The sequence below is a fragment of the Homo sapiens genome, chromosome 16 (assembly GCF_000001405.40).
Source record: "Homo sapiens chromosome 16, GRCh38.p14 Primary Assembly".
Classification (NCBI taxonomy): domain Eukaryota; kingdom Metazoa; phylum Chordata; class Mammalia; order Primates; family Hominidae; genus Homo; species Homo sapiens.
In genome coordinates this window covers 32841965-32857642 of record NC_000016.10, presented here as the reverse complement: position 1 = coordinate 32857642, position 15678 = coordinate 32841965, and the positions used below count along the sequence as shown (strand labels likewise).

General features: G+C 44.7%; 1 pseudogene, besides 1 other annotated feature; it reads right to left on the bottom strand.

Annotated features, from left to right (window-relative positions):
* IGHV2OR16-5 (immunoglobulin heavy variable 2/OR16-5 (non-functional)) lies at positions 9389-9930 on the bottom strand (annotated as a pseudogene).
* Positions 10885-11056: a silencer, noted in NCBI's record as "fragment chr16:32857908-32858079 (GRCh37/hg19 assembly coordinates)". NCBI's record gives its function as "represses an EF-1alpha promoter that drives an FKBP-Casp9 reporter gene in an ReSE screen in K562 erythroleukemia cells {active_cell/tissue: K562}" and the evidence as "EXISTENCE:reporter gene assay evidence [ECO:0000049][PMID:32094911]".

The window sequence follows — 15678 nt, the reverse complement described above, 5'->3', positions numbered from 1 at the left end:
ACCCAGCTCCCCACTCCACAGAAACCACTGGGCCCACCGGGTCTGCACTCCTCGGGGAGCAGGAGAAGCAGAAAAATTCAGACCCAGCCAGCCCTCCACACGCAGGTGCCAATTCCTGTTCCGAACGCCTCCACACACAGTGCCCTGTCTCCCGTGGTGTCCCCAGGGGTGCCTGGCAGCCTCTGAGGCACAGACCCAGAGTGCACAGGCCCAGGAACCACGGTGGGTGTGGGGGCTCTGCTGTGCTCAGGATTCCCATGCAAACGCTGTGCGCCTGCCGCACTCCAGTATGACCAAGTGTGGGTCGCCCTCTGGAGTGTGGAGTCAGGGAGAGGAGAACCACTCCTTCCTTGGATGCCAACTCTGCTGACCGCTGCCAGCAGTACAGCCCCTGATAGCACCAAGCTCACCCCCCCACAGCTAGTCCTGCCCTCAATAGCACCCCCCACCTCCATCCCCCAATGCCGCCAGTAGCGTATACCAAATAGTGCCCTAACCTGTCCTCCTCCACGGGCATTGCAGCCCCAGAAAACACCCATAACCCACCCTCTCTGCCGTGGGCAGTGCAGCCCTGTACAGTGCTACCAACCAGTACCCCTAATGCAGGCAATGACACCCTGGATAGCGTCCCCAACCTACCCTACACTGTGACCTAAGGTGCAGCCCTGGATAGCCCCTGTCCTGCCACTCTGGTGGTGCTGCACATCAGCCATCCAAGAGTGAGATGCTAATGCTCCAAGTCCTAATCTCATTTGAGGAAATGCATGCCCTGCTCCACTTCCAAACACTTTGTAGACAGAGGTCCTTTCACTGAAGAACAAGCACCCACAGGACATGCTCCTCACAGTGAACCCACATTTGATTAGCATGGAGACAATTGGGATCATTTCTGGGACCATTACTGTCTATGACACTGAGCAGATGCCTTTGCCTCATCCTGGTTTCATCAGGCACTAGCACAGCCCACTGGGGGCTCTGATGAAGTGACCGCTGGATGTCCCATGTGAGTATCCAGCAGGCCCCATGGACAAGCTCTGAGATCTTCTGGGTGCTACTGAGACAGTGTCTTCAGCATCTGCCTGAGATCCTAAGATCTTCAATAGAAGACTCTTGGTTTACTGATTTGGCTTGTGATGTGTGATTGGTGCTGATTTTCTCATAGACTGACAATGGCAATGAGGTGTTGGAATAATAATTTGGAGTTCTTCATGAACTCCCAGCTCTCAAAATAATTTCCAAGGAATTGGTGTTTTGAGTAAGTTTGGGTTTTATTTCTCATTCTATTTAAAATAATTTTGTGACATATTTATATCAGGAAACACAAGACACTCCAATGAGAAAGCTGTTTTTATGTGAGGTACAAAGCACTGGAGAGATGGAGATGTCCTTGAATTCTCAGAATTGCTAGAACTTGAATACCAAGGTCACCTCTGAATGGCAGTAGTCTGTCTGTGAGGACATCAATCAGCTCTGCCTTTAGGAATTTTTGAATGTGTGGACAAGATCAAGAGTGTGATTTATTTTTATCCATCCTGGTTAGAGGGAAACTTCCAGTCCCAGGAAGTGGGTGATTTTAACTGAAACACCTGAGAGCTGCCATTCTGAGCAGTTTTGAACCCTGAGATCTATTGAAGATCTTTGGAGAAAGCAGTGGGGCCTATCTGCATTCTCCTCAACGTGTGATCCTGAGGATGTGGCCTAATTTCTGTACACTTTCATGTTAAAAGATGTAGATGGCAGACTGAAGTGACAATTTCATATGCAAACTCTATAATAGGTCATAACTGGAGAATAGTCTCATCACCAAGATTACTTCACTTACTTTCCTGGGAACCAGGGAGAACCTCCGTGAGCCCTCCCATCTGAGCACACAAAGAACTCTGCTCCTGCCCTGACAGATCACACCTGTGACACGGGTACTTGAGGACAACAAGAATCAAGTCTATTGTCCTCATTCATATATTGACCAATCTAGCTTGATCCTTCTGTCTCTGAAAGGCCTCTCCTCCACTGAATTGCATGAACATACCTTCTGGTGAGGGGCATTGCAACTTTGGTATTTGATATTAGTTTAGTGAATTACATAATAAATATGCATCCATGGATTTTGGTAACAGGAGAGTCATCAGAAGCTGGGTGAGTCATATAATCAGGACAAACCTGGGCTCTCTTCTTAGTACCTGGAAAAAGTGGGCTGACCTTCTGTGGGGCAACAGAGGGGAAGAGACAGACCAAACTTCCAGAACCAGGTGAGCTCCTCACTTTCCAGGTGGTCTCTGAGCCTTTTGTTTGAACCCATGCAGAAGGACCTGTCCTCGCCTTCAGTGAAATGGCAAAGTTGCAGAAAAGATCACAGTGACCAATAATTTTTACTTACAGAGATAAAAGTGTCATAGACCTGTAAACATCAATGTGGGTGTGTATACGGTTTGCTAGGGTGTTCTCATACACCCACAAAAAATGAAATTATATTTTCTGGAAAGAAAACCAAAGGGCTTCTGAATTTGTAGGTTTTGTTATTCTCATATATGCCAGCTCCCATTTTAGGATGCTGCTCCCTAGGAACCAGGACATCGGCCCTCTGACCCTGATGACAGAACGAGCTGCTGAGGCTCAGTTCTGGACAAGAGCTACTGATAAGAGACTCACTTCCTCCACACAGCCCCACTCATGGCTGGAGGCTCTTCCCTGGGTGCAGCACCACAGAGGACATTGGGTCCCTGGTTCACAGCCCTGCTCCTGTGGCAGAGAGTCCACCCCAGCAAGAACTGCTTGCTGATAAAGTGGGAAACTTCTCCCCAACCCTCCGCTGAGCAGTCAGAGCCTATGCTGAGGGAGGAAAAAGCTCATCTGTCTCCATCTGCAGAAACTTACTTAGGAGCTCTGTCCCAGGAAAGAGGGGCTGCTGTAATTTAGCCATAATATAGAATCTTGAATCTGGTCTTAAACTACCTACATTCGTTTACAATAGAATGTGGAAAAGTTCAAAGCTTGAGTGTGCTCTCCAAAATATTGGAGGCTGTGGTGAAAGGAAGGCCCTTGGAAAGAAACAGGTGGATGCATGGGAGACAATGGCTAAACTGCAGGCCTGCTGGCTGGCTGGCTGGAGAAAACCAAGGAGGGAGAGACCTGGAGTTCTTCTGGGGTCAGAACAAATATCAGACACTCTTCAAACAAGCCCAGTTTTGTCTGTATTAGTCTGTGATGCAATTCAAACCTTAGTGCTTTGTTAAAAAGAACAGAATTTTCAATCTGCAAGTGGTGGAATTCAACATCTGGGCCTGGTCAGGAAAGAGACAGAGAAAGCTCAGCCCATACAACTGATATCTGAGAATGGCAGTGTTTCTTACAACTATGTCCCTTTGGTCGTTGAGACTGGCTTCTCTCAATTAGTGTAATGTCTGGAGTTCACTTGTAATAGTTTGTGTATCAGTCATTTGTTAGTTTTTATGCTGATGGTATTCAATGTATAGATGGTGCCTACCTTCTTTGCCCATTCGAATTTTCATACATTCATGTTATTTTTAGTTTCTAACACATGCACACACACACACACACACACACACACACTATGTTGAATATTTGCATAGAGGTTTTGTTTGAATATAAAATTATATTTCTCTGAAGCAAATATTCAGGAGGGGGATTTTTAGGTAATGTGTTAAGGGCATATATAATTTTACAAGAAACTAAGAATTATTTTCCTGTGTAGCTGTTTCTATTTCCATTCCCATTAGCAATGTTTTAGACTCTGGAAACCTGGTATGCTCACCAGCATTGGTGTGATCCATCTTTCTTCTTAATTTCAGCCATTCTAAAAAGGGTGTTTGGGTATCTTATAGTGGTCTTGATTTGAATTTCTCTGATGAAAAATCCTGTTGAGATCCTGTTTATATGCCTATGTGTAATCTGTACATCTTCTTTAATGAAATGCCTGCACAAAACTTTGCCTATTTTATCCACGGGTTGCCTCTTCTTTTATTCACTGTTGAGTTTTGAAGTTTCTTACTATAATTACACAGGTGGTGATATGATTTGCAAATCTTCTCATCTAAAACTTGACATTCATTCTCTTAAAATCACTTGAGTACAAAAGGATTTTAAGTTAAATGAAGTTCAACTGATATTAATTTCATTTATTGATCATGATTTAAACTTTAATTTTCAAGATCTTTGGTCAACTATTTTTTATTTATTTATTTATTTATTTTTATTATTATACTTTAAGTTTTAGGGTACATGTGCGCATTGTGCAGGTTAGTTACATATGTATATATGTGCCATGCTGGTGCGCTGCACCATCTTGTCATCTAGCATTAGGTATATCTCCCAATGCTTAATAATTTTATATTTTCAATTGTAATTGCTTTTATCTTTATTTGTATAAATTTAAGGGCTATGGGTGCACCTTTGTTACACAGAAATATTACAGTGGTATTGGCTTTAGTGTACCCAACACCCAAGTAACGTACATTGTACCCATTAGGTGATTTTTCATCATGCTCCCAACTCCTACCCTCCCATTCTGCTAAGTCTCCAATGTCCATAATCCCTCTCTCCATATCCTTGTGTACACACTGTTTTCCTCCCACTTATAAGTAATAATGTGTGATATGTGGCTTTCTGTTTGTGAGTTAGCTCACTAATTATAATGTCCCCCAGTTCTAGGCATCTTGCTGCAAAAGACACAGTTTCATTCCTTATTGTGGCTGACTAGTATTAAATTGTGCATATATGCTATATTCTTTTATAAAATCATCTGTCGGTGGACACTCAGGTTGTCATATATGCTATTGAGAATAGATTTGTGGTAAACATAGAAGTGTGGGTATCTTTTTGAAATCGTGATTTCTTTGTCTTTGGGTAGTTACCCAGTAGTGGGATTGGTAGAATAAAGGCCAGTACTGTTTCTCATTTTTTGGAAAGTCTCCATACTGTTTCCCCCCTCTCTCTCTCTTTTTTCCTTTTTTAACTATACTTTAAGTTCTGGGATACATGTGCAGAATGTGCAAGTTTGTCACATAGGTATACATAGGCCATAGTGGTTTTCTGCACCCACCAACTCATCATCTACAATAGGTATTTCTCCTAATGCTAACCCCTCCAGCCCCCCACTCCCCAACAGTCTCCGGTGTGTGATGTTTGTTCCCCTCCCTGTGTCCTTGTGTTCTCATTGTTCAACTCCCACTTGTGAGTGAGAACATGTGGTGTTTGGTTTTATGTTCTTGTGATAGTTTGCTGAGAATGATGGTTTCCAGCTTCATCCATGTCCATGCAAAGCACATGAACTCATCCTTTTTATGGCTGCATAGTATTCCATGGTGTATATGTGCCACATTTTCTTTATCCAGCCTATCATTGATGGGCATTTGGGTTGGTTCCAAGTCTTTGCTATTGTCAACAGTGCTGCAATAAAAATATGTGTGCATGTGTCTTTATAGCAGAATGATTTATAATCCTTTGGGTATATACCAAACAATGAGATTGCTGGGACAAATGGTATTTCTAGTTCTATCTAGATCCTTGAATAATCACCACACTGTCTCCCACAATGGTTGAAGTAATTTACACTACCAACCACAGTGTAAAAACGTTCCTATTTCTCCACATCCTCTCCAGCAGCTTTTGTTTCCTGACTTTTTAGTCATCACTATTCTAACTGGCATGGGATGGCATCTCTTTGTGGTTTTGATTTGCATTTCTCAAATGACCAATGATGATGAACTTTATTTTATATGTTTGTTGGCTGAATAAACATCTTCTTTTGAGATGTGTCTGTTCATAACCTTCCCTCAATTTTTGATGGGGTTGTTTTTTTATTGTAAGTTTGTTTAAGTTCCTTGTAGATTCTAGATATTGGCCTATTGTCAGATGGATAGATTGCAAACAATTGCTCCCATTCTGTAGGCTGCCCATTCACTCTGAAGATAGTTTCTTTTGCTGTGCAGAAGCTCTTTAGTTTACTTAGATCTCATTTGTCAATTTTGACTTTTGTTGCAATTGCTTTTGGTGTTTTAGTCATGAAGTCCTTGCACATGCCTATGTAATGAATCGTATTGCCTAGGTTTTCTTCTAGGACTTTTATGGTTTTAGGTCTCACATTTAAGTCTTTAACCCACCATGAGTTAATTTTTGTATAAGGTGTAAGGAAGGGATCTAGTTTCAGTTTTCTGAATATGGTTAGCTAGTTTTCCCAACACCATTTATTAAATAGGGGATCATTTTCCCCATTGCTTCTGTCAGGTTTTTCAAAGATCAGGTGGGTGTAGATGTGTGGCATTATTTCTGAGACCTCTATTCTGTTCCATTGGTCTATATATCTGTTTTGGTACCAGTACCATGCTGTTTTGGTTACTGTAGCCTTGTAGTATAGTTTGAAGTCAGGTAGCATGATGCCTCCAGCTTTGTTCTTTTTCCTTAGGATTGTCTAGGCTATATGGGCTCTTTTTTGGTTCCATATGAAATTTAAGGTAGTTTTTTTCTAATTCTGTGAAGGAAGTCAATGGTAGCTTGATGGGGATAGCATTGAATCTATAAATTACTTCGGGCAATATGGCCATTTTCATGATATTAATTCTTCCTATCTATGAACATGGAATGTTTTTCCATTTGTTTCTGCCCTCTCTTATTTCCTTGGGCAGTGGTTTGTAGTTCTCTTGAAGAGGTCCTTCACATCCTTTGTAAGTTGTATTCCTAGGTATTTTATTTTCTTTGTAGCAATTGTAAATGAGAGTTCACTCATGATTTGGCTCTCTGTCTTTCTATTATTGGTGTATAGGAATGTTTGTGATTTTTCCACATTGATTTTGTATCCTTAGACTTTGCTGAAGTTGCTTATCAGCTTAAGGAGATTTGGGGCTGAGATGATGGGGTTTTCTAAATATATAATCATGTCATCTACAAACAGAGACAGTTTGACTTCCTCTTTTCCTATTTGAATACCCTTTATTTATTTCTCTTGCCTGATTTCCCTGGCCAGAACTTCCAATACTATGTTGAATGGGAGTGGTGAGACAGGGCATCCTTGTCTTGTGCCGGTTTCCAAATCCACCATGATCAAGTTGGCTTCATACCTGGGATGCAAGGCTGGTTCAACATATGCAAATCAATAAACATAATCCATCACATAAACAGAACCAATGGAAAAAAAAACATTATTATCTCAATAGATGCAGAAAAGGCCTTCAATAAAATTCAACACCGATTCATACTAAAACCGCTCATTAACTAGGTATTGATGGAATGTATCTCAAAATAATAAGAGCTGTTTATGAGAAATGCATAGTCAATATCATACTCAATCCATACTGTTTTCTATAGAGGTCGTACTCGTCCACATTCTCATCAACAGTGTCTAAGAGTTCACTTTACATTTCATCCTCTCCAACATCTGTTATTTTTGACTTTTTAATAATAGCCATTGTGAACGGTATGATATCTCACTACAGTTTTAATTTGCATTTCCCTGATGATTAGTGATGCTGAGCATTTTTTATGTATCTATTGTCCATTTTTATGTGTTATTTACAAAAATGTCTACTCAAGTTGTTTGCTCATTTTAATGGGGTTATTTGGTTCTTGTTTTCTTTCGTAGTTGTTTGAGTTTCTTGTTAATTCTGCATATTAGTACTCCGTCAGAGGCACAGTGTGCAAATATTTTCTATCATTCTGCACTTTGTCTGTTCACTCTGTTGCTGTGAAGAAACTTGTTAGATTCATTAAGTCCCATTTGTCTATTATTTGCTTTTTGTCTTTTGGTTTTTGGCTTGTGCTTTTGAGTTCTTAGTCGTAAATTATTTACCTAGGCCAGTGTCCAGAAGAGTTGTCCTGGTGTTTTATTTGAATACGTTTACAGTTTGAGGTCTTACATTTAAACCTTTAATCTATTTTCTGTTAATTATTTACATGTTGAGGGTGGGTGTCCAGTTTAATTCATGTGCATATAGCTATCCAATTTCCCCAGCGCCCTTTATTGAATGAGGTGACCTTTCCCTGGTGTATACGTTGGTTAATTTTTGTTAACTTTGTCAAAGATCACTTGGCCATAGATTATGTGGCTCAATTCTGGGTTCTGCAAAATGTACCCAAGAGCCTTGATTTTCCTGGGGCCTCAATACTGATCTGCTCACTGCTTGAACTCCATTGACTCAGTGATGCTCCTATCATTGTCGTGGTTTGTTGTCATGCGATGGCTTTCCTAAAATTGTGGACAATTCTGTTTTCTTTTTTTTTTTTTAATTATTATACTTTAAGTTTTAGGGTACATGTGTACAATGTGCAGGTTAGTTACATATGTATCCATGAGCCATGTTGGTGTGCTGCACCCATTAACTCATCATTTAGCATTAGGTATATCTCCTAATGCTGTCCCTCCCCCCTCCCCCCACCCCACAACAGTCCCCAGAGTGTGATCCCCTTCCTGTGTCCATGTGTTCTCATTGTTCAATTCCCACCTATGAGTGAGAACATGTGGTGTTCGGTTTTTTGTCCTTGTGATAGTTTACTGAGAATGATGGTTTCCAGTTTCATCCATGTCTCTACAAAGGACATGAATTCATCATTTTTTATGGCTGCATAGTATTCCATGGTGTATATGTGCCACATTTTCTTAATCCAGTCTATCATTGTTGGACATTTGGGTTGGTTCCAAGTCTTTGGTATTGTGAATAGTGCCGCAATAAACATACGTGTGCATGTGTCTTTATAGCAGCATGATTTATAGTCCTGTTCAAACTTGAGCTAGGAATTTCATAAGAAAAGTGTTGTCGAATTTTTCATTTCTTTTCCACATTGATCCTCAGACTTACTGAGATGGGTTTCTGATGTCAAGCTGAGGCATTTTACTTTCCAAGTGTTGGATTTTATACTTACCTGGGTATTTAATCACCCCCTGTGTGGAAATCAGCCTCATCTATCACACCTTCCCTATAAAATTTCTAGAAATTTATTTGTACACTGCAAGTGAGACACTCCATGATGAGGACACATTCTGTCTTTCTTGTTGTTTCATAAAATTACTTTATTAGTGTAAATTTGTCTCTGCAAGAAAAGATGGTATCTGGATTTTAATTAATCATCCTGCTCTTTTATCTCCACATTCTTCTCCAACACTATTTCCTGCAGTTTAAGAATGTCATATGTTATAGATATTTGTATTCAGACCCTTGGAAGGATATGAGCTCAAGAAATAAGTGGCCACATATCAGTGATGCATGTGGCCGAGGTAATGGGACTCTTAGATGCTCAATCTTTGTCAAACAGGATACAGCCTCTGCTTACATGGATCACTAACAGGGAGCATGACATTTAATAATACAGAATAGGAAAACAGACAGGGCTCTGAGTCTGGTTGGTATAGGAAACACAAGCCCTGGCAGGAAATGGCATCTCAGTCACACTTTCCTGTTCTGCAGAGGTAGGGAGGGAGCACCACTGAGACGCAGCCTGGGTTCTTGTACAGGAGGCATCCTGGGCTGTGTCTCTGTGCTCTCCATGCACAGTAATACGTGGCTGTGTCCACAGGGTCCATGTTGGTCATGGTAAGGACCACCTGGCTTTTGGAGGTGTCCTTGGAGATGATGAGCCTGTTCTTCAGAGACGTGCTGTAGGATTTTTTGTCATTCAAAAAAATGTGAGCAAGCCACTCCAGGGCCTTCCCTGGGGGCTGACGGATCCAGCTCATACCCATTCCAGAAGTGCTGAGTGAGAACCCAGAGAGAGTGCAGGTCAGCGTGAGGGTCTCTGTGGGTTTCACCAGCGCAGGACCAGACTCCTTCAAGGTGACCTGGGACAAGACCCCTGTGGAGAAGACATAAGAAGATGAAGCCCACAAAGGAGAGAACTGATGTTTCACTTCTGAGGAAGTCCCTGACCACAACACTCACAGGAAGGGGTGGTCAGCAGCAGGAGTGTGGAGCAAAACGTGTCCATAGTGGGGCACAGGAGTCACTGAGCGAGGCCCCATTCTCGGCTTTTGAACCCAGAGGAGGGTGGAGCTGGTGGAGATTTGCATCCCCTCATCTGAGTCCTACTCTATGGGGTGCACTCAGGTCTCAGGACTCAGTAGGGGAGTGCATCTGTGGTGAAGAGCAGTGAGCCCTCAGGTGTGGACTTCCACGTGTGCTCTCCATGGGGGACTCCATCTCATTTCAGGACCATGCCTTTCAGCCAAGGCTCTGAGATTCCTGCTCCTACAGACAGGGTCTTCTCTAAGTCTCACCCAGGCAGCATGCAGCTTTCTGGTTTTAGTCCTAGAGGATGAGAGGAGAAATCAATAGAGATGGTTTTCTTTCTTCCTTCAGGAGAAATGAGGGTGGGAATCTGGTAGAGCAAGGGGCTTCCCATAAGTTTCTGATAAAAATCCTCTTTGTTTAGGGGGAAAGTGATGATTTTTTTAAATGATAGAGAATACATCAACAAAACATTTAAAAATGTATTGTGTAAAGAAGTGTAAATAGCATTTCAGCCATTTACACACTGCAAGACACACTGCTTATTAGTGTGTCTGCACATAGGTGCATTCCTGTAGGAATGTTCCATGGATAATCAATCTTGTCTTTATGCCCTGTCAGCCCTTTAGGAAGAGTAGACTGCATCTCTGACATCCCTCTTCCAGCGCATGAGTGAGCAGAGGCTTTAAACAGGGTAATTGGAGGAATCCCAGGGGAGCAGCTGGCTTTTTGATCCCGCCGCCGCGGCTTTTTGCGGCTTTTGGCCGCCGCCGCAGGTTTTTGCCGCCGCCGCAGGTTTCTCCCGCCCCGGCTTTATGCCCCCCGCCGACGCAGCTTTTTGCCGCTGCGGCTTTTTGTCCCCGCCGCCGCGGCTTTTTGTCCCCGCCGCCGCGGCTTTTTGCGGCTTTCTACCTCCGCCGCCGCGGCTTTTTGCCCCCGCCGCCGCGGCTTTCTCTGCCGCGGCTTTTTGACCCCGTCGCCGCGGCTCTTTGCCCCCGCCGCCGCGGCTTTCGGCCTCGTCGCGGCGGCTTTCTGCCCCCGCCCCCGTTGCTTTTTGCTCCCGCCGGCACGGCTTTTTGCCTCCGCCGCCGCGGCTTTTTGCCCCCGAAGCCACGGCTTTTTGCGGCTTTTTGCCCCCGCCGCCACGACTTTTTGCCCTGCCACAGCGGCTTTTTGTGGCTTTTGGCCCCCGCCGCCCCGGCTTTTTGCCCCCGCCGCCACAGGTTGTTCCCACCGCGGCTTTTTGCCTCCGCCGCCTCGGCTTTCTACACCCGCCGCCGCAGCTTTCTGCCTTTGCGGCTTTTTGCACCCGCCCCCCCATGCCACTTTTTGCCCCCGCCGCCGCGGCTCTGACTGCAGGATCCGCCAACTAGGCTGCCAGCTCTACCGGCGTCCTGGCTCGGGCAGCGCCAAGGGGCGCTCCTCGTCCAGCTCTCCCGGCTCAGGGGTTCCTTGCCTAGACGCCCGCACCCCTAGCTCCCCGCCTTGACCGCTGCAGCCTGCATAGAGTGGCGCTGCGCCCGGCTGCGATGGGAGAGAAGAAGGAGGGCGGTGGCGGGGGTGATGCGGTGGCGCAGAGGGAGGCGCAGGGGCCGCCGCTAGCCGGGTGCTGCAGCAGTGCGGGCAGCTCCAGAAGTTCATAGGCATCTCCATCGGCAGCCTGCTCGGGCTGCGCACCCAGTGCTCTGTGTCCAACGACCTCACCCAGCAGGAAATACGGACGATGGAGGTAAGGGGGTCCGGGACCCCGGCTGGGCTCGAGGAGCGGCCCGGACACCTCCCTTGGGGCCCCAGTTCACTCCTGGCCGAGTTGCATCCTTGAGCCCGCATGGCCCCCTTGGAGGCTTCTCCTCCCTCCTGCACTAGCTGATGCAGCAGCCAGAGGACCCCGGACTAGCCCTCACCTTGGGCAGGATTTGTGGGGCGGGTGCGTGATGGGAACTTGGATGGAGGCTCGAGGGGCCCGTGGGCAGGGTGGGCTGCGCACAGACATCCCCTTACAACCCGAATTTCCATCTGGTCCAGCCCTCTCGTCTTGTAGGTGAGGAAACCGAAGGCCTGAGGGAGAACTGACTTGCCAGGAACCTCTCTTAAAGAGAATTAACAAAGTGTGGTTATTAAAGGAGAAATGAGTTGGGAGTCAGACCTGGAAGCCCACACCCTTGGTTAAGACATTATACCACCTTGAGTCTGGCCTGTTGACTGAGGGTGAGCCACTCCATCCTCGTCTGATTGTGGGGTCTTGACCTCAAGGGGTTTCCTGCAGGAAGAAGCAAATGGGTTTGCTTTCCTAGCTCTGTCCACTACCTTAGGGACCCTGAGGACTGGAGAGATTCTTGGAGAGCTATCTAGTGTATGTCATGGGTGGGCCTTTTTTGAAGGTCAGTCTGCCCAGTGGGCTGGCTCAGCCCGAATGAACTCTCTTGAATCTTTGGAGTTGTCTGTGTACTTTTAAGGGCTTCTCATCCTTGCACCAAAAGATCCCCTGGAAATTAGGTGGGAAAACCTTAACTTTCATGGGACCTTTTTCATGCACATGGCCAGGTGTGGTGGCTCACACCTGTTATCCTTTCCTGGATCCCTTGAGTCAAGGAGTTTGAGACCAACCTGGACAATATAGTGAGACCATGTCTCTACAAAAAATAAAATGTTAGCCAGGAGTGGTTGTGCGCATCTATAGTCCCAGCTACTACTGTGGCTGAGGCAGGCGGAGCACTTGAGCCTGCACTGAGCTGTGATCTCACCAGTGTGCTCCAGCCTGGGCCACTGAGCAAGACCTTGACTCAAAAAAAAAAAAAATTTCTTGAAGATTTTGCATTCTGTCCCACTATCCATTGGTTTTCATGTCAAGATAATGTCAGAAATTCTTTACAATTGCTTCCAGAAGGAGTAGCCTTTTGATCTAGTGCACAGGTGTCCAGTCTTTTGGCTTCTCAGGGCCACATTGGAAGAAGAATTCTCCTGGGCCACACATAAAATACACTATTGCTAACGACAGCTGATGAGCTTATAAAAAAAAAAAGGTTTGTGCATAATTTTCATGATACCCACCACCACAGATAGGCGGAAAAGTCCTTTTAGTCAAAGGGTTGGACACGGCTGATCTAGTGTCTTGTCATCAGTTTTGGCTTTCTCCCTGATTCCAGAATGCAGGTAGAGATGTAGATACGTGCTCTCAGGACAGCTGTTGAGATAAAAAAATTCATTGTCATTTATTCCCAAGCACAGCTGTTTCTCATTTGCATTAAAAAAGTCTCCAAACCGCTGTCACATATAAAACCTGTTTATATAAGTCTGTATTTTTCTGTTGTCATGACATTTGTGGGCAGTAGTGTGTTTTAACCGAGCAAACTGTCCTTCAAATAATGAAGCCGAAGTCAGCCTACCTGCTTGCCATGTTTCTTCCCCTTCCATTTTTCTAACCTCAGGATAATTGTAAGAATGAATTAAGATTTGTGTTTAAGGCCAGGCACAGTGTCTCAGGCCTGTAGTCTTAGCACTTTGGGAGGGGGAGACGGATGTATCGCTTGAGCTCAGGAGTTGAAGACCAGCCTGGGCAACATACTAAGACTCCGTTTTGTACAATTAAATTAAAATTTAAAAAAAGAAGAGGAAAAGACTTGTGTTTCAAATTTTAAAAAAGCGGGGGGAAAGGTAATGCAAAATGTGGACTATGCCAGCTATGATTAAGAAAAATAATTTTTCCTACAGCATTATCTGTAGACTTGTATTAGCAGCATACTGGTCATAAGCGTTTTGCTTTCCTCAAATATGATGAGGTAAGCTACTTTAAAGTGTGGTGGGGCTTTCTTCTGCGTGGCTCCTGGAGGTGTTCAGTCCCAATTTAGCCAATTAATTTGGGTTTGGTTTTGATATGGATAAGGGAGACGAGCTTCATTCATGGTACACACACAGTTTTGCCAATAAGGAAAAAATAAAGCAACCTGAATGTTCCTACTCATTAGATGCTATCTGGAGAGCTCCTACCCCACCCTCGCCAAGGCCCGGGCCCTTAAAAAGACTCAATGCAGCCTTTCTGTATCTCATACTGTATTCTGCAAGATGCTCCTGTGAAAGAAAGTTGTGCTGCATCAGCCATCTCCCTCCTGAAGATCCCTGTGGATGAGGATTTGCGTTTAAAAGGTTCTGAGAACTCCTGCAACAACAGTTCTCAAACTTATTTGTCCAGGGGATCTTTTCTTCCACTGAACATAGTTGGGGAGACACGGCCTTAAGCCTTGAGCAGAGAAAGAGACAAGAAACAGTTGGCTCACTTACAACCAAGTGTTGTGTTTATGTTTTAGGTTTTTATGAAACTGAGGTGCTGTTTGAAGTTCTAAATGAAATTGGGTGGTTGAAGAGAGGCTGGTATCCCTGTAGACTTAGCCAGCCATGTGAGGTTGCCTTTTGTTGAAGGAGGTGTTTTACAAAGGGAAATAGGGTGTCTCCTGGGCATCACATTAGCACTTAAATGCATGTATCACTGAAATGAAATGAAATGATGAAATGATGAAATGAAATGAAATGATTAAATGAAATGATGAAACAAAATGATGAAATGAAGAAATGAAACGATGAAATGATGAAATGAAATGATGAGATGAAATGAAATGGTGAAATGTTGAAATGAAATGATGACATGAAATTAAATGATGAAATGATGCAATGAAATAATGCAATGATGAAATGGAATGATGAAATGAAATGATGAAATGATGAAATGAAATGAAATGAAATGATGAAATGATGAAATGAAAAGATGAAATGATGAAATGAAGAAATGGGATGAAATGATGAAATGAAATGAAATGATGAAATGAAGTGAAATGATGAAATGATGAAATGATGAAATAATGAAATGAGGGGTGGAGCCAAGATGGCCGAACAGGAACAGCTCTGGTCTACAGCTCCCAGCATGAGCAACTCAGAAGACAGGCGATTTCTGCATTTCCATCTGAGGTACCGCGTTCATCTCACTAGGGAGTGCCCAACAGTGGGTGCAGGACAGTGGGTGCAGCGCACCATGTGCAAGCTGAAGCACAGCGAGGCATTGCCTCACTCGGGAAGTGCAAAGGGTCAGGGAGTTCTCTTTCCTAGTCAAAGAAAGGGGTGACAGACGGCACCTGGAAAATCAGGTCACTCTCACCCTAATACTGTGCTTTTCCAATGGGCTTGGAAAAGAGCACACCAGGAGATTGTGTCCTGCACCTGGCTTGGAGGGTCCTACGCCCACAGAGTCTCACAGATTGCTAGCACAGCAGTCTGAGATCAAACTGCAAGGCGGCAGTGAGGCTGGGGGAGGGGTACGCACCATTGCCCAGGCTTGCTTAGGTAAACAAAGCAGCCAGGCAGCTGGAACTGGGTGGAGCCCACCACAGCTCCAGGAGGCCTGCCTGCCTCTGTAGGCTCCACCTCTGGGGGCAGGGCACAGACAAACAAAAAGTCAGCAGAAACCTCTGCAGACTTAAATGTCCCTGTCTGACAGCTTTGAAGAGAGTAGTGGTTCTCCCAGCACGCAGCTGGAGATCTGAGAACGGGCAGACTGCCTCCTAAAGTGGGTCACTGACCCCCGAGCAGCCTAACTGGGAGGCACCCCTCAGTAGGGACAGACTGACACCTCACTCGGCCGGGTAGTCCTCTGAGACCAAATTTCCAGAGGAACGATCAGACAGCTGAATTTGTGGTTCATGAAAATCTGCTGTTCTGCAGCCACCGCTACTGATACCCA